Source organism: Homo sapiens, chromosome 3 (genome assembly GCF_000001405.40).
Source record: "Homo sapiens chromosome 3, GRCh38.p14 Primary Assembly".
In the NCBI taxonomy this organism is placed as follows: Eukaryota; Metazoa; Chordata; class Mammalia; order Primates; family Hominidae; genus Homo; species Homo sapiens.
Window position 1 is genome coordinate 11,797,351 of NC_000003.12, and position 22,655 is coordinate 11,820,005.

The 22,655-nt window shown below is 40.8% G+C and overlaps 1 protein-coding gene across 20 annotated transcripts in view; it reads right to left on the reverse strand.

Annotated features, from left to right (window-relative positions):
• The window catches only part of TAMM41 (TAM41 mitochondrial translocator assembly and maintenance homolog), a 124,990-nt gene that overhangs the window by 75,455 nt on the left and 26,880 nt on the right, over positions 1-22,655 (reverse strand). For 6 of the 20 annotated variants that reach the window (NR_158710.1, NR_158712.1, XM_017005725.3 and 3 more), the window contains 3 exons: positions 19,842-19,987; positions 12,167-12,332; positions 10,483-10,545 (listed from right to left, as the gene is read on the reverse strand). Coding sequence is in view for 9 of the 20 variants with exons in the window: in XM_017005725.3 (XP_016861214.1) it covers positions 10,483-10,545; positions 12,167-12,332; positions 19,842-19,987 (375 nt within the window). In the remaining 11 variants the exon portion in view is untranslated. Of the gene's footprint in view, positions 1-6,906; positions 12,333-13,425; positions 13,548-18,941; positions 19,988-22,655 lie in introns of those variants that run through there. The other 14 variants (NR_158713.2, NR_158715.2, NM_001366031.2 and 11 more) reach the window with 10 other exon arrangements.

Below are 22,655 nucleotides of genomic sequence, written 5' to 3' on the forward strand. Positions count from 1 at the left end.
CAACTATCTGATCTTTGACAAAGTAGGCAGAAACAAGCAATGGGGAAAGAACTCCCTATTCAATAAATGGTGCTGGGAAAACTGGTTAGCCATATGCTGAAGATCGAAACTGGACCCTTCCTCATACCATATACAAAAATTAAGTCAAGATGGATTAAAGACTTAATTGCAAAGCTATAAAAACCCTGGAAGACAACTTAGGCAATACCATTCTGGACATAAGAATGGGCAAACATTTCCTGACAAAGATGCCAAAAGCAATTACAACAAAAGCAAAAATTTTAAATGGGATCTAATTAAACTAAAGAGCTTCTGCGCAGCAAAAGAACAAGACAGTGAAGAACAGAGTGAACAGACAACCTAGGAAATGGGAGAAAATTTTGCAAACTAGGCATCTGACAAAGGCTTTATGTCCAGCATCTATAAAGAACCTAAACAAATTTACAAGAAAAAAAACAAACAGCCCCATTACAAAGTGGGCAAAGGACATGAACAGACACTTTTCAAAGGAAGACATACATGCAGCCAACAATCAAAGGAAAAAAAGCTCAACATGACTGACTGATAATTAGAGGAATGCAAATCAAAATCACAATGAGATTCCATCTCACAGCAGTCAGAATGGTTGTCATTAAGTCAAGAAACAACAGAAGCTGGTGAGGTTGTGGAGAAAAAGGAACATTTATACACTGCTGGCAGGGGTGTAAATTAGTTCAACCACTGTGGAAGACAATGTGCCGATTCCTCAAAAACCTAAAAAGAGAACTGCCATTTGACCCAGCAAGCCTATTACTGGAGTACATACCCAAAGGAATATAATTCATTATATCACAAGGACACATGCATATGTATACTCATTGCAGCATTATTCACAATAGCAAAGACATGGAATCAACCTAAATGCCCATCAATCGTAGACTGCATAAAGAAAACGTGGTACATATACACCATGGAATACTATGCAGCCATAATAAAAAAGAGACCATGTCCTTTGCAGGGATATAGATGGAGCTGGAGGCCATTATCCTCAGCAAACTAACACAGCAACAGAAAACCAAATGCTGCATATTCTCACTTACAAGTAGGAGTTAAATGATGAGAACACACAGGACACATAGAAGGGAACAACAGACACTGGGGCATACTGATGGGTGAAGGATGGGAGGGGTGAGAGGATCAGGAAAAATAACTAATGGGTTCTAACTAGGCTTAATAAATAGGTGACAAAATAATCTGTGTAACAAACTTCTATGGCACAAGTTTACCTGCATAACAAACTTGCACATGTACCCCAAACTTAAAATAAAAGTTAAAAAAAAAGAACAAGGTGGAGAAGGATAGAGGTTCTGAAACTTACTGTGAGGATGAGGAAAGAGAAACAGGCAAACCAGTCACTCGGTGCCTGTCACTGTTAGTTTACTCCAGCTGGAGACCTGGGCCAGGGGCTAACACTATTCAAATATGACATTGTAAAGAGGCTTGTTTTAAAGAGAGGTCAGGAAACTTTTAGGTAATGATACCAAAAGAAGAAAAACCAGACACAATGCTAGATGCCTTAATATATCTTAAAATATAATCTCCTGGCCAGGTGCAGTGGCTTAACCCTATAATTCCAGCACTTTGGGAGGCTGAGGTGGGAGGATCACTTGAGCCCAGGAGTTTGAAACAAGCCTGGGCAACATAGTGGGACTCCATCTCTACAAAAAACAAAAACAAAACAAAAAAACAGCCAGGTGTGGTATTGCATCCTTTAGACCCAGGTACTTGGGAGGCTAAAGTGGGAGGATCACATCATTGTACTCTAGCCTGGGCTAGAACCTGTCTCCAAAAAAACAAAACAAAAACAAAAAAACAAACGTAAAATACACCATTGCACTCTGGCCTGAGCTAGAACCTGTCTCCAAAAAAACAAAACCCAAAACAAACAAAAAACCAAACATAATCTTCACAACCTGGTGAGGCAGGCATAATTATTCCTATGAAGTTAAAACTCAGAAAAATTAGGTAACTTGCCCAAGTCACACTGGTTAGGTTGTAATTTGAGCTCTAGTCTCTGCGGCTCACAAACCTCTGCCCTCAGCACTATGCTAGGAAACCTTTGTCACAGCCCTTGGCCATAATAAACAGAGCAGCCAGAGCATAAGGCCATTTAACCCACAGAATCTGAAGGGGTGCTCATCACTTTCCATGCTTTATGTCACCTCAGTGTGAGGTAACATACATTCTGTCACTCTGGACTTCCACAATGCAATGTGGCATCATTAGAAGTGAAGAAAAGGCTGTGCAGGAAGAGAGGTTAAAATGTTTAGAAAAATTTATTTAAGGAAATAATCAATGAAAGCTTCCCAAGTCTAGCAAGTGTGTCAGATATCCAGATACAAGAGACCCAATGACCCCCAGGTGAATACACTGCAAAAAGGACTTCAACATAGCATACTATAATCAGAAGGTCTAAAGTGAAAGTAAAAGAAACAATTTTAAAATAAGCAAGAGAAAAGCATCTAGTCACCCATAAAGGAAACCTCATCAGACTAACAGTGGACTTTTCAGCAGAAACCTTAAAGGCCAGAAGAGAATGGGATAGCATTTTTAAAGTGCTGAAGGAAAAAAACCCTGTCACCCAAGAATTTTATATCCTGCTAGAATAAGCTTCATAAATGAAAGAGACTAGTCTTTCCTAGACAAATACTAATGGAATCTGTCACCACTAGACCAGCCCTATAGGAAATGCTCAAAGGAGTCTTAAACATGGAAACAAAACGCTGATATTCACCATCACAAAAATACCCAGAAATATAAAACTCACAGTTCTTATAAAACAATCTCACAAAAGAGGAAAAGAAAGAAATCAAATTACAGAATTTCATCAAAACACAAGGACAAAAAGAGAAAAAGAAAGAAAACAAAGAATTTATAAAATAACTTGAAAATAACCATGTGACAGAAACAAAACCTCACATATCAATATTAACTTTAAATGTAAATGCATTAAATGCTTCATTTAAAAGATACAGACTGGCAGAATGGATTAAAAAAACATAATCCACCTATATGCTACCTACAAGAAACTCACCTTACCTGTGAAGACACAAATAGACTGAAAGTAAAGGGGTGGAAAAAGATATTCCATCCAAAAAGAAATCAAAAGGAGAACTATATATATGTCAAATAAAACAGACTCTAAATCAAAAACAGTTAAAAAAAAAAAAAAAGACTAAGAAGGTCATTATATAATGATAAAGGGATCAGTTCACCAAAAGGGTACAGCAAATCCTAAATATATATGCACCCAACATAGGACCACCCAAATTCACAAAACAAATATTACTAGCTCTAAAGAAAGAGATAGATAGCAACACAATAACAGTGGGGGACTTCGACATTCTACTCACAGCACTATACAGACCATCGAGGCAAAAAATTAACAAAGAAACACTGGACTTTAGACCAAATAGACTTAACAGACATTTACAGAACATTCTTCCCAACATCTACAGAATATATGTTCTTTTCATCAGCACATAAAACATTCTTCAAGCATGGGCTACATAGGGAGACTTTGTCTCTACAAAAAATAAGATTAAAAATAAATGTAGCCAGGCATGGTGGTATGTGCCTGTGGTCCCAGCTACTCAGGAGGCTGAGGTGAGAGGACTGCTTAACCTTAGGAGGTCAAGGCTACAGTAAGCCATGATCACACCACTGCACTCCACCCTGGGCAACAGAGCAAGACCCTGTCTCAAGAAAGAAAAAAAAAAAAAAGGAAGAAGAAACATTCTTAAAGATAGATCACACATCACACATTAGGCTACAAAACAAGTCTTAACAAATTTTAAAAAATCAAAATCAAGTATCTTCTCAGACAATAGTAGAATAAAGCTAGAAATCAACATAAGAGGAACTTCAGAAATGATACAAGTACATGGAAATTAAACAGCATGCCCCTAAATAATCACTTAATCACTGGGTTAATGAAGATTTTTTTCCCCTGAGACCCCTGAGACAGGGTCTTACTGTGTCACCCAGGCTGTGGTGTAATCATGGCTCACCGTAGCCTCAAACTCCTTTGGCTCAAGTGAGACTCCTGCCTCAGCCTCCTGAGTAGCTGGGACTACAGGCACATACCACCATGCACAGCTGCACAGCTAATTTTTTTGTAGAAATGGGGTTTTTCCACGTTGCCCAGGCTGGTTTCAAACTCCTAGGCTCAAGCAATCCACCCACCTCAGACTCCCAAAGTGCTGGGATTACAGGCATGAGCCACCATGCCTGACCTTAAAAATTTTTGGAAACAAATAAAAATGAAAACACAACATACCAAAGCCTGTGGGATGCAGCAAAAGCAGTGCTAAGAGGGCATTACTAATGTTTACAGCATTACATGTCTACATAAAAAAGTAGGAAGATCACAAATTAACAACCTAATGCCATACCTCAAGGCATTGAAAAATATAACGAAAACTATAACAAGAAAAAAAATAACTAAACTCAAAGTTAGCAGAAGAAAAGAAATAACAAAGATCAGAGCAGAACTAAATAAAATGGAGACCAAAAAACAATACAAAGTATCAACAAAATGAAAAGTTGGGACTAGGTGCAGTGGCTCATGCCTGTAATCCCTGCACTTTGGGAGGCTGAGGCTGGCGGATCGAGATTCTAGGAGTTCAAGACCAGCCAGGGCAATGTGGCAAAATCTCACCTTGACAAAAAATACAAAAGTTAGCCAGGCATGGTAGTGTGCACTGTAGTCCCACCTACTTGAAAGGCTGAGGTGGGAGGATTGCTTAAGCCTGGGAGGCAAATATTCTAGTAAGCCATGATTGTGCCACTGCACCGTGTAGCCTGAGTGATAGAGCCAGACCCTGACTCAAAAAACAAAAAAGAAAAGTTGGTTCTTTGAAAGATACACAAAATTGATAAACCACTAGCTAAGACTAAGAAGACAAGAGAGATACAAATAAACAAGATACAAGACAAGAAGAGATACAAATAAACACAATCAGAAATGAAAAAGGAGACATTACAACTGATACCACAGACATACAGAAGATCATCAGAGACTATTATAAACAACTAGATGTCCACAAACTAGAAAACCCAGAGGAAACTGATAAATTCATGGAAACATAATCTTCAAGATTGAACCAGGAAGAAACAGAGTATCTGAAAAGATCAGTAATGTAGTAGCAAGACTGAATCACTAATAAAAATCTCCCAAGAACAAAAAGAAGCCCAGGACCTGATGGAGTCACAGCTGAACTCTACCAAACACAGAAAGAATGAATACCAATCCTTCTGAAACTATTCTAAAAAGATCAAGGAGGGAATTCTCCCTAACTCATTCTATGAGGCCGCTATCACCTTGGTACCAAACAGACAAGGACACAACACCACCAAAAAAGAAAATTATAGACCAATATCCCTGATGAACACAGACACAAAAATCCTCAACAAAATACTAGCAAATTAAATCCAACAGCACATCAAAAAGAGAATACATTATGATCAGGTGGGATTTATCCCAGGGATGCAAGGATGGTTCAATATATACAAATCAATAAATGTGATACATCACATAAACAGAATTAAGGACAAAAACCACATGATTGTCTAAATAGATGCAGAAAAAGCATTCAATAGCCTGGGCACAGTGACTTATACCTGTAATCCCAGCACTTTGGGAGGCCAAGGTGGGCAGATCACTTGAGATCAGGAATTCAAGGCCAGCCTGGCCAACATGGTGAAACTCCGATTTTACTAAAAATACAAAAATTAGCCAGGCATGGTGATGCATGCCTGTAGTCCCAGCTACTCGGGAGGCTGAGGCAGTAGAATTGCTTGAACCCAGGAGGCAGAGGTTGCTGCGAGCTGAGATTGCACCACTGCACTCTAGCCTGGGTGACAGAGATTCCGTCTCCAGCTACTCAGGAGGCTGAAGGGGGAGAATCGCTTGAAACCAGGAGGTGGAGGTTGCAGTGAGGTGAGATCGCGCCACTATACTCCAGCCTGAGCAACAGAGTGAGGCAGTTGCTCTGTCTCACAAAAAAAAACAAAAAACAAAAAACAGATGTTGGTGCAGATGTGGAGAAAAGGGAATGCTTATACACTGTTGAAGGGAATCTAAATTAGTATAGCCTTTATGGGAAACAGTATGGAGATTTCTTAAAGACCTAAAAATAGAATTAACCTTTGATCTAGCAATCCCATTACTATGTATACATCCAAAAGGAAAGAAATCATTATATCAAAAACAAAAACAAAAAAAACCACTCGTATGTTTACTGCAGCACTAGTCACAATAGCAATGATATGGAATTAACCAAAGTGTCCATCAATGGAGGACTGGATAACAAAAATGTGTATATATCTACATCTATATCTCACCTTGAATACTACTTAGCCATAACAAAGAATGAAATAATGTCTTTTGCAGCAAGATGGATAGAACTGGAGGCCACGTGTATAAGTGAAATAACTCAGAAACAGAAATTCAAGTATCACATGTTCTCACTTTAAGTGGGAGCTAAACAATGTGTATGCATGAGCATACAGAATAGAATGACACTGGTGACTATAAAAAGTGTGAGGGTGGGAGGAGATGAGGGTTGGAAAATTACCTATTGGGTACAATATTCACTATTTGGGTGATGATGGGTACACTAAAAGCCCAGACTTCACCATGTAAGAAAAATGCACTTGTATTCCTTAAACGTTTTAAAAATTAAAAAGAAAAAAAAGTGAAGGGGAAGCAAGCAGTAAGCACTCAGGGGAAGCAGCATCAGCACTCCAGGGCCACAAGGACAGCTGAGCTGTGGGTTCTGTGATCAACTGCCCTCTGCTGGTGAGTAGAAATAATGAGTGGAAAGAGGACCAAAGGCTCATTTCAGGTTGAAGGTGTCAAGAAGATCTTTTTCAGCCTTTTATTAGAGAAAAATTCAAACTTAAATAACAGACAGAAGAGTATAAAACAGCCCCATGCATCTTTACCTAGCTTTGACAATATATCAGCTCATGGCCAATCTTGTGTCATCTACCCATTACCCACTGCCCTCTGCCATGTTTTATTTTGAAGCAAATCCCAGACAACATATCATTGCATCTGGAATTATTTTAGTATGCATCTCTAAAAGAAAGGGAATTTTTTAAAAAGCTCCATAACACCACCATTGTCACAACTGAAAAATAATTAACAATAATTCTAATAATTCCAATAATTCCTTATAGCATGGGACGCCAACAACAAAACAAATCATTAAGCCTCACCCAAGGAGGATCATGGCAAGGGAAAGGCAATCATGCAAAATTCAGATTAACAGCATGAATCACCCAAACAAACAAAAGTACCTCATCTTCAGTCTTGCCAGAGTAAACTAGCAGGAACATAGATTAAATGAATATCTTAACTGGAAATGCAAAGCCATGCACCCAAATGGTAGGAAAATCTTTAGTTCAGCAGATGTGACACAAGTGCTACTAAGTCTTTGTTGAAACTTTTATACAATGTTTTTATTATTATAATTTTTTTTTTTTTTGAGACAGGGTCTCACTCTGTCACCCAGACTGAAGTGCAGTGGTGCGTTCTTAGCTCAATGCCGCCTCGACTTCCTGGGCTCAGGACTACGGGCGCGCACCACCACGCCCAGCCCTTTTTTTTTTTTTTTTTTTTTTTTTTTTGAGACGAAGTCTCACTCTCGCCCAGGCCAGAGGCAGTGGCACAATCTTGGCTCACTGCAACTTCCGCCTCCCAGGTTCAAGCAATTCTCCTGCCTCAGCCGCTCAAAGGTGGGACTACAGGCATGTGCCACCACGCCCAGCTAATTTTTTGTATTTTAGTAGAGACGGGGTTTCACCATGTTGCCCAGGCTGGTCTCAAACCCCTGAGCTCGGGCAATCTGCCTGTCTCGGCCTCCCAAAGTACTAGGATTACAGGCATGAGTCACCACATCCAGCCTATTTTTTCTATTTTTTTAGAGACAGGGTTCCACCATGTTGCCCAGGCTGATCTCAAACTCCAGGACTCAAGTGATCCTCCTGCCTTGGCCTCCCAAAGTGCTGGGATTATAGGTGTGAGCCACCGCATCTGGCCTATTTTTGTTATTTTTAAAGAGACAGGGTCTTGCTGTGTTGCCCAGACTGGTCTTGAACTCTTGAGCCCAAGCAATCCTCCCGCCCTGGCCTCCCAAAGTGCTGGGATTATAAGTGTGAGCCACCATGCCTGGCCTTGTTGAATCTTTCCAGTGATTCAGGAGGGCAACACGGTCCTTGAGGGCCAAATGCTCAGAGGAGTATCCAAGCAGCTGGGCTATGAGACACTGAGAGGTGTGACCATACCAGCTCCCCAGCAATCTCAAACCCAGGGATTAGAATTAGGTTGAAAGATCACTCCCCTTTTTGGGCTACCTCTGTGCTATTTCTCCCTCTCTTGCAAATTTCTGTTAGCATGTCTCTTTTCCCTTCTAAATTATACGCCTCTGCAAGTCAGTATAGCATTTGATATGGTTTGGCTCTGTGTTCCCACCCAAATCTTACCCTGAATTGTAATAATCCCCACGTCGTGGGAGGGACCTGGTGGGAGGTAATTGAATCACGAAGGCAGGTCTTTCCTGTGCTGTTTTCATAATAGTGAATAAGTGTTACGAGATCTGATGGTTCTATAAAAGGGAGCTCCCCTGCACATGCTCTCTTGCCTGCCGCCATGTAAGACATGATTTTGCTCCTCATTCACCTTCCGCCATGATTCTGAGACACCCCCAGCCATGTGGAACTGCTAATCAATTAAACCTCTTTCCTTTATAAATTACCCAGTCTGAGGTATGTCTTTATTAGCAGCATGAGAACAGACTAACGCAGCGTTGTGTTCACTTTTGTATCCCGAGCAGCTGGCACATGAGAGATGCTCAATGGATGCTTGCATGAAGAAAGCCTGAACTAGAAAAGTCTATCACTTGATGATGCCAAATGTTGGAAAAAATGGGAAGAAAAGAGTATTCTCCTACTCTGCTTGTGGGACGATGAACTGATACAGCCACTTTGTCCTCCAAAGAGATGTCAAATATTTAGGCCATAAAACAAGAATAGGATGCAAAAAACAGGAGCATTCAGAGAACAGCAAGAAAAGAGAGAGTTCCTGGAAATTATAAACACTCAACAGAAGGGTTGGAAGCTAAAGTTGAGAAATTCGAGAAAATCTTCCAAAGCAGAGCAAAAGAAAAACAGATAAAAAATAGAAGACAAAAGAAAGAAAACCAAAGACTAATCTAGGGGGTGCAATATCTGAATAAAAGGAGTTCCAGAAAGAGAACAGAGAAAACAGATGGGACAAAATTAAAGAAAAAATTTAAAACATTTTTCTTATATGCTTATATTCTGAGTTTCCCAACAGAAAGGGCAATGAATTCCCGGTAAAACAGATAAAACAGATAAAAACAGACTCACATCAAAGCACATCACTGAGAGAATTCAGAGCACTGGGGAAAAATAAAGACCTAACATGCTTCCAGAAATAACATACACAAAGGATTAAGAATCAGATTGGCTTTAGACATAGACAACAATCCTAGAAGTAAAAGATAAATGCAGCAATGATCTCAAAATTTTAAAGGAAAGTGATTTCTAATCAATACCCAGCCTAAGTATTAACTATGGGTGAAGACAGACAAAAAAGACTTTCAGACATACGTGGTCTCCAAATGTGCCTTCCATGTTCCCCTTCTCAGGAAATTACTGGAAAATGTGCTTCACCAAAATGAGAGTGTGCACCAAGCAAGTGAAAGACATGAGATACAGTAAATGGGGGACCCCCTAGAGGGGACAGCGAAGACACTCTCCATGAGAGAAGAACATTATGCAGGGAAGGAAAGGTGTACTCTGTGGCTCACCATACCATCAAACTGAAAACTAATTAGCCAAAACCACCAGACAACTATATTAGGAGGACAGAGGGATGGGAGGGTGCGTACATTTGATGAGGGTGGGTGCCAGAGTTGACTTCTAACCTCCCATAGAGAGAAGTCAATAGATGATACCTAAAGTTGAAACGTAGAGAAGGAGCAACGAAAACTTACCATTTAGAGAAATGGCAGTAACAACAAAAATAACCCACTAAGACAGATGGAAGCAGTTGTCTCAGAGAAGGGGAAGAGGAGGGGGAGCACAGATGCTGCTGTTTTTGCAATCCTATGCATCTGTAACTTTGATAAATAAAACAATATGAGGGAAAAACCCTGCACACAGGAAGTGTCTCAGAAAATTCAGAAGGGCAGTAAAGCTTCCAACAGCACTGCCAATGGTCTGACATTGTTCGACCACCAGGTTCTGCTGCTGTTATGCCTGTTTGTACCTTACTGCAATATCCCAGTTTATGGCCATCAAAGCTCAGCATTTCACAAGCACCTAAAAGATACAAAGCTTTACACTGTAACCAAGAGTGTGGAAGCCACTCAGTCAGCAGGTATGTTACACACGGATTTCCAAAGCTCTTACCAGCAGTAAAAATGCCTTTCGTGCTCTGTCTTATACTAGACGGTCTCACGATTGCTGAAAGCCCTGCGAGAAAAAAACCAAAAAGGAGACCAAAAAAACCCAAAACAGATGTTAGTCATCTTAACAGTTTTAAAACTTGAAACTAAATATTCTTTCTAGTCAGCCAATCAAACCACCAAATCTATCTCTGTCCTGCTGTCACAGTGACAATGAAAAGGGCAGTGGGATTGAGGGCCAGGAGACCAGAGCAGCCAGCCGTGGCGCCACCCGGCTGTGTGAGTCCAAGCCGATGACCGAACAGCTCTGTGCCTCTTCCCCTTAAAACAAGGGGATGGGTTAGCTGACCCTCAAAGGGCATTTTATGACTTAAATCTGCTTGAGATTTCTGGTTCTCAATTCCATAACATGAAAAGATAAAAACCAAATGATTACATCTACGAGAAAAACTTTCATTCTGAAAACACACATACGGATTCCACAGTGAGGAACAAGTTTCACTCACCTCAAAGAGACGGCCCAGATCACACTGTTGCCAGGATCATGTTCAAACAAACAACAGTGTGCCTCGTACAGAGCTATCTTCAGGATGGGGAGCTGGTGACCTAAACACACACTCTGCAAACCTAGTGCAGGCCCAGGAGGAGAGTGGGCGTGGAGCGCCTGCTGCAGCTCATCCACTGCAGTGCGATGGTCTTTGCAAAGCATTACTGGAAATTCTATCTGGCACGCGGAGGAGCTCAGTAAATATTTACTGAATGAAAACAGGAGAATGCACTCAATTGACAGAGGGACTCATTCTCAATTTCATAAATATTTCTTGATTGACTGATCTCATAAATTACCTTTAGCACCTTAAAGGGAAGTTAGTCTCTGAAGATAAGGTTCAGGCTCTTTTTTTTGTTTGTTTTTTAAGAGATACGGGCTGCTCTATCACCAAGCCTGGAGTGTAGTGGTGCGATCCTAGCTCATTGCAGCCTCCAACTGCTCAAGCGATCCTCCCACCTCAGACTCCCAAGTTAGCTGAGATTATAGGCATGTGCCACCATGCCCAGCTACTTTTGTAATTTTTGCAGAGACAGGGTCTTGCTCTGTTGCCCAAGCTGGTCTCAAACTCCTGGCCTCAAGTGATTCTCCCTCCTGGACTTCCTAAAGTGTTGGGAGTACAGGCGTGAGCCACTGCACCTGGCCTGGGTTCAGAGTTTTGGATAAACATCAGGGCAGTGCTGGGGAAAATGCTGTGGAACGTGGGCCATGTCTGAGGGAATGTACTCAACAATGTATGAGACACATCAAATGGAGTTGATTGAGGAAAGCTGTGTTCTCGATGTTATAAAAGCACAAAAAAATGCCACCAATCTCTTTTCTCAGACCACCACAAAACACAGACACATCTTTTAAATAAATTCTAGAAGTTGTGCTCTAGGAACCAAAAGAAACATTGTTTCTCCCTTTGACAGTGATTTAGGATCCAGGAATTTAAAAACAGAAGTATTTTCACCATCTTACTTCAAACAAATAAAAATGCAGATTTAGAAAACCCTCAAATTTTTAGTGCTTTCTTCTTCTGAGAGGCAATCTCTCTATCTCGCTAAACAAAAAGGAAGAAATAATACATTCCAATCACAAACAAAGTCTGCTTTTCCCCATGGCTGGCATTTCCTCAACATCAAATTCATAAACGTACCTAGTCGCACCACATCTCCACAGTCGGGATCATGAGCCACTTGGAATAAAGTTTCTTCCACATCTCTGTTTTTTCCAGGAGGGTCCATAATATGATTTATCTGTTGCTGTAAGGTTTTGGGCAATGTCATCAGCTGAGTGAACTGTCCTTCTGGGCTTTTATCTATCTGAAGGGAGGAAAAAAAAGACGACGTCTATGGAAGTGCTTTAAATCCTACAAATACTCCAAAACTCAGGGCTTCTCTTTAAAAATCACACAAACATATATGCACCCACACCCCTGGCGAGGCAGCAAGCTAAGGAAACTCTCTTTTTCTGAAACTGAATGGGTAAGTGTTCAGGAGTCTAAGTCCCTTCAAAAAGGACAATTCTTGTCCTATAATATTCCATTTCTACCTGAGAAAAGAATAGAAGCCACTCTCAAGGATCAATTTCTGACTTTTGGTTTTAAAATTTATATTTGTCTTAAATCCAGCAGTCAAAGGAAGTGGTGCTGCAGTTGACACTCGTGGAGGCCGCGTCAAATCCAGGCACTGAGATGACCCCTCCCATTTCAAACACAGGGAGACTGGCGTGCCCTGATCACATCACCAATGAGAGTAAGTGGGATCTGAATTGTGTCTCCTGCCTGTAGGGCCTTTTAGTATGCTGTATTTCACAAACTGTAGGAATACACTGATGACAGAAACTAATCTTACTTACTTTTAATCCCCAGCACACAGTAGGTACTCAAAAAACAATAAGGAAATGAGTAACTGAATCAATACAACTTAGTTGTCCTAAAGCTACTATGCCAGCGGCTTCGGTTCCCAAAGTATTCTAAAACATACTAAGGTGCTGAAGATAAATATATAAATAAAACATGTAAAACTATGTGTCAGACTTTACTCAGAAACCCTTGAATCAAAAGTTAGCCACAGAGCTGAGGCCAGACCTAGCTTTCCTAACTCCAAGTTTCATACACTGTGCCTCGTGGAATGAATTTTTAAAAATCTTGTAAACATTGATTTCCTGCCAAGTGCAGAACCAGTAACACTGCCCTCAACAGCCCATCACATTATTTCCCAAGGAAGAATCTGTCTTGTATCCTTTTAACAAATATTTAGGTTTTAACTTCAACTAAGAGAAGAGTAAGAAAAAATCAGATCAATGTATTACATTTTAGGCTTAGAGTTTACAGATAGGACGAACTTTCTTAATAATTAGAATCCACTCATTCTACCATTTTTTAAATTGAATAAATATTTATTAAGTACATACCAAATGGGCCAGGAGCACAGGTTCACACCTGTAATCCCAACAGTTTGGGAGGCTGAGGCAGGAGAATTGCTTGAGCACAAAAATTCAACATCAGCCCTAGCAAAAGAGTGAGATATCCGGCTCTACGAAAAAAAAAAAGAAAACAAAAAAAAGCCAGACATGGTGGTGCAAGCCTACAGTTCTGTCTACTTGGGAGGCTGAGGTGGGAGGATCACTTGAGCCTGGGAAGTTGAGGCTACGATGAGTGGTGATTGTGCCACTGCACTACAGCCTGGGTGACAAGACCAAGATGGTATCAAAAAAAACAAAAAAGTATATACCAAATACCTGAATTTTCTAGTTTTGTCTATAAACTCTATGAAGAGAAGGAGAAAAATGTTATTATTTAATGGCTCCATAAAGCTAGAGGGGTAAATATTTAGGTTTTTATCTAAATATTTGATATTTATCACTAGGATGGTTCTAAATTCACAGGCCCCATCCTCTACTTAGCTTTGGCTACAAAAATGACAACAAATTTGAGTATTTATGTAAAATAATCTTAGAAATGACATTTATGGACTTATGTTTTGAGGCCACATATTGGGATTAGTTAGAATAAACTTATATTTAAGTTATGCTTTACCTATGAAGCTTCCAACGGCTTGAGTGACATATAAAAAAATTAGAAAGTACTTATCTGCCACTGCTTTCTCTTGAGGAAAATAATGCACTGGAATTTTCACTTGAAAGCATGAGTGTAAAGATAAAATACCAGGTGACATGATTTAAAAATTTGGTAAATTCTCATTTTCCTTACACTAACTCTCATTAAAATAACGAAAGTGAAAGCATTCAGCTAAACTGTGAAAGTCAAATTGCATTTTAAAAGCGGACATGGATACAATTATTATATGTCAACTTAAGAAAAAAGCAGATATGGAAAAAACTTTATATGATTCCATGCATATGAACTGTCCAGAACAGAAAAATTACAGAGACAGAAGTGGATTAGTGGTTGCCTGGGTGAGGGGAGAGCTGGGGACGGCTAAAGGGTATGGAGTGACAGAAATATTCTAAAATTACATTGTGGTGATGGCTGTGCAGCTCTGTGACTATACTATAAACACTAGCTTTTATGGTGTATGAGGTATTCATCAATAAAGCTAATATTTTGTTATTATTATTTTTGAGACAGAGTCTCGCTCTGTTGCCCAGGCTGGAGTGCAGTGGCGCGATCTCAGCTCGCTGCAACCTCCATCTCCTAGGCTCAAGTGATTCTCATGCCTCAGCCTCCCGAGTAGCTGGGATTACAGGCGCACACCACCATGCCTGGCTAATTTTTGTATTTTTAGTAGAGATGGGGTTTCACCATGTTGGCCAGGCTAGTTTTGAACTCCTGGCCTCAACTGATCCACCCACCTCAGCCTCCCAAAGTGCTGGGATTAAAGGCATGAAGCTGCCATTCTCTCCCCCTGGCCAAAAGAGTAAAGAAAAAATAAAACCATATCCCAGGACGAATGGCAGAGATGAGCACCACCTGTAGACCTAAAAGATGCAAGGGTAAGGCAGATAATTTTATGTGTCAACTCAGAGCAGTGGCACAGCCTGAAGACACTGTCCTGCGAGGATGAGTTGTGCTACACATCCTGAATCAATCACCATTACGCTGTACTATATTCCCAACTGGCAGAAGACATGGGCCTGGGGACCAAGGGTAGAAAGAGAAGTGACCTTGCTTATCGTCATTCCCAGGGACCCACTTGGGAACACTTTGCTTCCTATCACTACAGCTCTAGATCTGTGGGTCTAGAGGTCCCAGTTCCCAGAGAAGGGATGCTTCTACCAGAGGACATAGTAAGCATCCCATTAACTTTAAGTTACGACTGCCACCCAATTAATTTAGAATCCCATGCCGTAAGTCCAGCAGACAAGGCAATGAGTCACTACACTGGCAGAAGCAATCGGCCCTGGTCATCAGGAGCTGGGGTGCTGATACACGTCTCTTAGAGTACCCCTTGCCCAATTTTGATGGTTAGTGGACAAGTGCGGTAGCCAGGGTCCTCCAGACTCCTCCGAGATGAGGGTCTGGGCCACCCTGTCTAGATAAGCAGAAGTGATAGATGAGGGTGAAGGGAATCTGGAGGAGTAGCAGAGATGGGAGAAGATGAGTCTCAGTTGCAGCCTCAAGGCCAGATACAGCACTGGGAGCTGTAGCTCAGTCCCCCAGTCTTATTCTTGTAAGTTTCCTGGGAAAAGAAACTGATGCGAAACTAGATCATGCAGGCTTTTATAGGCCATAGGGAGGATTCTGGATACCTTTATTTTTATAGTTAGAGAAAATTCCTAGCCCTTTTCCCTTGTTCAGTTTCTAGAAAGTTGGTAGACAGACACATTATACTTCCCTGTCCTCTAGCCAGAGAATAGAAGATCTCTGGAGAAATTCTACAGACACTGATATTTGAGATCCTCCAATAAAACAGCTAGGTCCTTGGCCAGGTGCAGTGGCTCACACCAGTAATCCCAGCACTTTGGGAGGCTGAAGCGGGCAGATTACTTGAGGTCAGGAGTTCAAGACTAGCTTGGCCAATATGGTGAAACCTCATCTCTACTAAAAATACAAAAATTAGCTGGGTGTGATGGTGCATGCCTGTAGTTCCAGCTATTTGGGAGGCTGAGGCACAAGAATCGCTTGAACTTGGGAGGCGGAGGTTGCAGTGAGCCGAGATTGCGCCACTGCACTCCAGCCTGGGCAACAAAGAAAGACTCCATCTCAAAAAAACAAAACAAAACAAAATAGCTAGGTCTTTGCCTCATAATCCTATAGTCAAGCCCACCAGTTGACAAGCCTGATATATCACAAAGAACTTCCAGCCTGTATTTTAGTGCCTCATTCTTTAAAAACAGGCCAGAGCCAGGAACGGTGGCTCTTGCCTGTAATCCCAGTACTTTGGGAGGCCAAGGCAGGAGGATCGCTTGAGCCCAGGAGTTCGAGACCAGCCAGGGCCAACAAAGTGGGACCCTGTCTCTACAAAAAAAAATTTAATGTCTCAGATCATATGGGTACAAATATATGTGTGTGTGTGTGTGTGTGTGTGTGTGTATGTATGTATATATATGTATATATGTATATATGTGTATATATGTATATATGTGTGTATATATGTATATATGTGTGTATATATGTGTATATATATGTATATATACATATACACACATACACACACACCTGTGTATACACACACACACACACACACACACACACATAAAAAAATCAGCTGGGCATAGTGGCATGGGCCTGTAGTCGCAGCTCCTCAAGAGGCTGAGGTGAGAGGATCACTTGAGTGCAAGAGTTCAAGGCTGCAGTGAGCTATGATCATGCCACTATACTGTAGCCTAGGTGACAGAGTGAAATCCCCTCTCAAATTGATTAATTCATTAATTAATTTAAAAAATCAGGCCAGGAAGGAAACTCAGACATTTGAAAAAAGCTTCTAACATAACAGACTAGAGTAAAAACAGACAAGAGGAACTAAGAGAAAGAAAACAGTGTGAGAGAACAAGACAAAATCTTCAAAAGTTATAATAAAGATCATTAAAGAGATTAGGAGAAAATAATGCATCCATAATACAAGAATAGGAAGCTATAAGAAAGAACATTTTGGGAAAATTAAAAATTTAGTAGAAGTGTTAGAAAACCAATCAGAAATATTCTCCCATAAAGCTAAATTTAATAAACGAAGAGACGAGAGAGAGAGAGAGAGAGAAAGGAAAAAAGGTTAAACCAGGAGGTCTAGCAACCACCTAACAGGAATCCCAGGAAGAACAAACTAAGAAAATGGGTATGAAGAAATAATTACAGAAATAATAAAAAAAATTCCTTAGAATTGAAGCTTATAAAATTCCAGATAGAAAAGGCCCACTGAGGCTGGGCGCTGTGGCTCACACCAGTTAACCCAATACTTTGGAAGACCAAGGTGGGAGGATGGCTTGAGCCCAGGAGTTTGAGACCAGCCTGGGCAATATGGTGAAACTGTTTCTACTAAAAACACAAAAACCAGCCAGGCGTGGTGGCGCGTGCCTGTAGTCCCAGTAGTTACTCAGGAGGTTGAGGTGGGAGAGTCACTTGAGCTTGGGAGTTTGAGGTCGCAGTGAGCTGGGATTACGCCTCTGCACTCTAGCCAGGGCAACTGAGCAAGGCCCTGTCAAAAAAGAGAAAGAAAGAAAAGAAAGAAAGAAAGAGCCCACCAAGTGACTGAATAATGAATGGAAAACAGACATAAATAAAGAAGGAAAATTATCTCCACCCTAGAATTTGATATCTAGCCAATACTATCTATCAAAGGGAGGGTAGAATTTTCAGAGGTATATAGTCTCAAAAACTTGCCTCCCTCACACCCTTTAAGAAGGTAATAAAAGACAAACTTCACTAATATCAGAGTATAAACCGTGGAAGAGGAAAATGCAAGACCCACAAAACCAAAAACTAGCACGGGGGAGGCAAAGGGAATTCTCAGGGTGATAATGAAGGGAAGGTGGAGGAGTGCGGCTGTGCAGTGAGCTAGAAAACAACCAGTTGAGAAAGGAACAGGGCAGGGGGCTCCAGGAAAAACATTCCTGTGAGAAACAAGAAACAGAAAATACCCAATAAATCTGTCTATAATGGGAAGAGTTTTACGGATCTGTCAAGAGTTTGAGGATGACTGACCTAAGCAACTGAAAAAATAAGACAACTATTAACTCCAGGAGAAACAAAGTTGTACAGGAAAAGGAACTTCATAATGCCACAGCTCATCAATAAAGAAAAGGCTGTCACAATAAAATAAACATTGAATATTAAGCTAACAAAAAATATGAAGTAACTTTATGTGAAGCATGAGGGCGTGAGGTAGAAGGGGAAGAGAATGTGTGTGCTAAGTGCATGTGTGTGAGTGTGTAATTGGTATAAGAATTGATGGGGTAGTGTAAGACGGTAAAAAAAATCCCCTTCTTCCAGGATGGCAAAAATAAAGTGTAAGATTGAAAAAAAATCAAGAAATAATAGTCGAAGCATATTATTTAGAACATGGAGGTGAATATCAGAAGAATCAGCTATAGAGACGAAAGCAGCTGCCTCTGGTAAGCAGGGCTGAGAATGTGGGAACGTATGCAGCACGGAACTGCTCTTTTTGTTATAAACTTGAGGTATCATTTGGCTTTTAAATCATGTACATGCATAAAACAAAAAACCTCAACCTGAACCAAATGTGGCAAAATCTGTTAAACTGAGTGGTGGGTATTCTCGCATTTCATATGTCACTCTCTATTCTTTTCTTGTTTTAAAATAATTCCTATTTTTTTAAATTCCCTTTTTAGCTCTAGAAATTCCATTAATCTATTACTCATTACAATGTTAGTTGCCCCTACTATGTGGATGGAGAAGAGCATAAATGAAGAAAAATACAGTGTTCTTTACATTAAAGGAAAAAAAAAAAAACCTTTGGCCCGGCCTGGTTTTTATTTTCAAACAAACACTTAATATTAATTGAAACAATACCTTGATAAGAAAGTTTTATTTGATATATCAAAAAGAAAAATTCCCAGACATAATAAACAAAACAAGTGGGGAAAGAAGAGAATTTTGAATATGTATGAGCCCATTAATGTATAACAAAACCAAACCTCTTCCTATATGCATACAAACATATACAAAAGTACACGTGAAAAGATCTGGAAGAACAGACAGCAGGCTGGGTGCAGTGGCTCATCCCTATAATCCCAGTACTTTTGGACGCTGGGGCGGGCAGACTGCTTGAGCTCAAGAGTTTGAGACCAGCCTGTGCAACATGGCAAAACCCTGTCTCTACAAAAAAAATACAAAAATTGGCCAGGTGTGGTGGCATGCACCTGTAGTCCCAGCTACTCAGGAGGCTGAGGTGGGAGGATGGCTTGATCCCAGGCTGGGGGGTGTTGAGGCTGCAGTAAGCCGAGATCGTGCCACTGCACTCTAGCCTGGGAACAGAGTCAGACCCTGTCCCCCCAAAAAAAGAAAAAAAAACAACAACAACCAGACACCAAACTGTCAGTACAGTTACCTCTGGGGAGCTAAATGGGTCTGGGGATGGAATGAGAGTGATCTAAAAGTTTATTTTCACTTGTTTTGATTGGTAATTGATAGACATGGTAATAATTTCCAATGGCAAAAAAGATATACATGGTCAAAACAAGTCCCTCTCCCACTTCTGCCCCTAGTTCCCTTCTCCAAAGGCAGCCTCTTATTACTAGTCTGTTACCTTTTAGCATTATTCCAGATACACAGAAGCCTATGTTTACATACAGTACTTACTTTTTAAACTATAAATGTTCTCACACCAGTCATGCTGTTCTACCCCTGACTTTCTTCCTGCAAATAGCCTTTGTCTTAGAAACAATACAAGCTATTTTCCACATACAGTTACCTCCAGCCAGCCTTGCTGGCTTTTATACACCACTTGAGGATTTTCCTGTAGTATGCTGCCATAGAGCTCTCGAAAGTGGGCTATATTGGGCTTCACAATATTCAACACTTTTGTTTTATCTTCTCCAACCACCATCCGAAAGTCACCTAGTTAAAACAAAGAGATAAACACATCTTCCATTAAGAATCCACACTCTCGACCTATGAACGACGCTCCCCACACTGATACCGCACGGGTTCACTCTGGCAGGATCCCTCATCAGAACACTTGCTTTTCCTCCTCAAAACCTGGACACTTTACCCCAAGAAATGTGAGCACTTGTTTGGAGGAAAAGAGGGTCTCTCAAATCACAAAGCCCTTTATGCCAGTTAAATTATAGTTACCTAGTTACACAAGGTAATCACAAGCGAGTAGCTAACTTGTTTTAGCTTTTCCAATGCAGAAGCTTCTGTACCTACAAAGTCTTGTCTTATGGGCCAAATTCTGCCTGTGGCCAATGAAGGAGATAGGAGCTGTGCACCATCACTGTAGACTTGTCCTTGCCATTGCTTCCTCATCGTTGACCTGTCTGTTTATGAGGGCTTTTGAGGCACTTGATGAATATAATCTTATCATATTTTACAAAGGCAAAATAAGGCTTAAAAGTTCTGTAAGAGGAGGTTTGCATTTAAGATGAAATTGAAAACAGATATAACTTTTTAAATTGCAAGTGATGAGAAATGAGGAATGTTACATTTGCCTATGGGATGAATTGAGCTGAAAAACACCTAATTCTGAAAGACAAAAGCATTTCTGAATCAAATGAAAAGTGCCCTGCCAATGCCACTGACAACCATCGGCAAGATGGAGGAGAAAGGAATGGGAAAGTGGACACACTTAAGTGCATGCCTACTGGGCTAATGTGAAATCACAAGAGGCTGGACACACGCAGAACCTTCTGAGTCAAGCGTGGTGAAAGCAATGTGGCTGAATCCTTTGTTGGAGAGGGAGCAAATTGTCAGGGGGAGTAGAGAGGTGGCAAGTGTAGGCAGATAACCCAGCTGCTGAGGAATCCCCTGGGGCTAGGATGACAATATAATTTATCATCCAAACTAGGTCACTTCTGAGGGTGAAGGGATCGCTATAAATAATCACACTACGACAAGTATAAACTGAGCAAACCAGGACATATGGTTACCCTCGCCAATTTCTTTTTTCTGGAGAGGGGAAGGGATCATAGAGGTCATTATTTGCCACAATGGATTTTCCTAGTGCAAACTGTTGGCTTGTTTTAGAAAAAGTAAAAATACAAGGAAGACCAACAATATGTACTTCATTGAGTAAGGAATAAAATATGCTAGGTTTTAAGCTTCAAAGGACCAACTTACACTACAATTTGGTGGAATGCAACTGGGGACTGCAAGCTTAGAAAAACAGACTTCCAGGCTGGGCGCGGTGGCTCACACCTGTAATCCCAGCACTTTGGGAAGCCGAGGCAGGCGGATCACGAGGTCAGGAGATCCAGACCATCCTGGCTAACACAGTGAAATCCCGTCTCTACTAAAAAATACAAAAAAATTAGCCAGACGTGGTGGCAGGCGCCTGTAGTCCCAGCTACTTGGGGGGGGGCCGCAGGAGAATGGCGTGAACCCAGGAGGCAGAGCTTGCAGTGAGCCGAGATCGCGCCACTGCACTCCAGCCTGGGTGATGAAGCAAGACTCCATCTCAAAAAAAAAAAAAAAAGACTTCTAAAGAGCCTCTGGAACCCGATCTTGGTGTACAGGGGGTCTGACTGTTCAGGTGAGTGAGCAGAAGCGAGTCCCAGTCCTAAAAATCTGCTCAAATATGGATGAACTTGTTTTTGTCACTATTATTTTGAAGGGAAAGAGAGTTAGATAGTTAAAACCTGGGATCACTGCTAATGAGGAGGTTGAGAAATCAGTCCTTTCACATATTGCTGTTGACTGCATAAACTGCTAAAATTCTTCTGGAAAGCACTGAAGCAAGAAACCCCATCTCTGGAGCAAGCTTAAAGAAATAAGCCAGAAACACAGAGTAAGACAGAAACACACAGGTAACGTTTACCGAGCATCTGGTAAATACCAGCCACTGTGCCAAGTGTGTTGTGGTATTGCTTCATTTAATACACACAGCTCTCCTCTCAGGTAGATAGGATTCTATCCCCATTCATACACAAGGGAACAAAGACAGTGATTAAGAAACTTGCGTAAGGTTTCCAGGAAGTAAAAATATACTACATATATAAAATTGCTCACTGAAGCACTACTTATAATACTGAAAGCATCCCAAATGTCCAACAACAGGGGAAAGAATGCACTATGATGGCATATGGTTACTATCACAGACAGTAATCACACACAACAAGATGGAAAGTGATCATTTAATATGCAGTAAGAAACAAAGAGATACAAAAGTATAACAGGCTGGGCATGGTGGCTCACATCTATAGTCCTAGCACTTTGTGAGGCCAAGGCCGGGGGAATGTTTGAGCTCAGGAGTTCGAGACCAGCCTGGGCAACATAGCGAGACTCTGTCTCTATGTAATTTTTTTTTTAAGCATACCAAAACAAAAAAAACTTCATAAAAAATGAGAAAAACAAGACAAAGAGACTATATAAAAATGCTTATTTTTGCTCTAATAAAATACATTTATTGTGGGTTTTTGCATGTGTGCTTTAATTTGCTATCTCATTTGGTCATGGCAAAGCTCCATAAAATAAGTACTATTATTCTTAATTTTACAGATGAGGAGATGGACGTGCAAAGACAACATGCCCCAGGTCCAACTGCCTCTCGGTATTAGGGTAGTGAAAT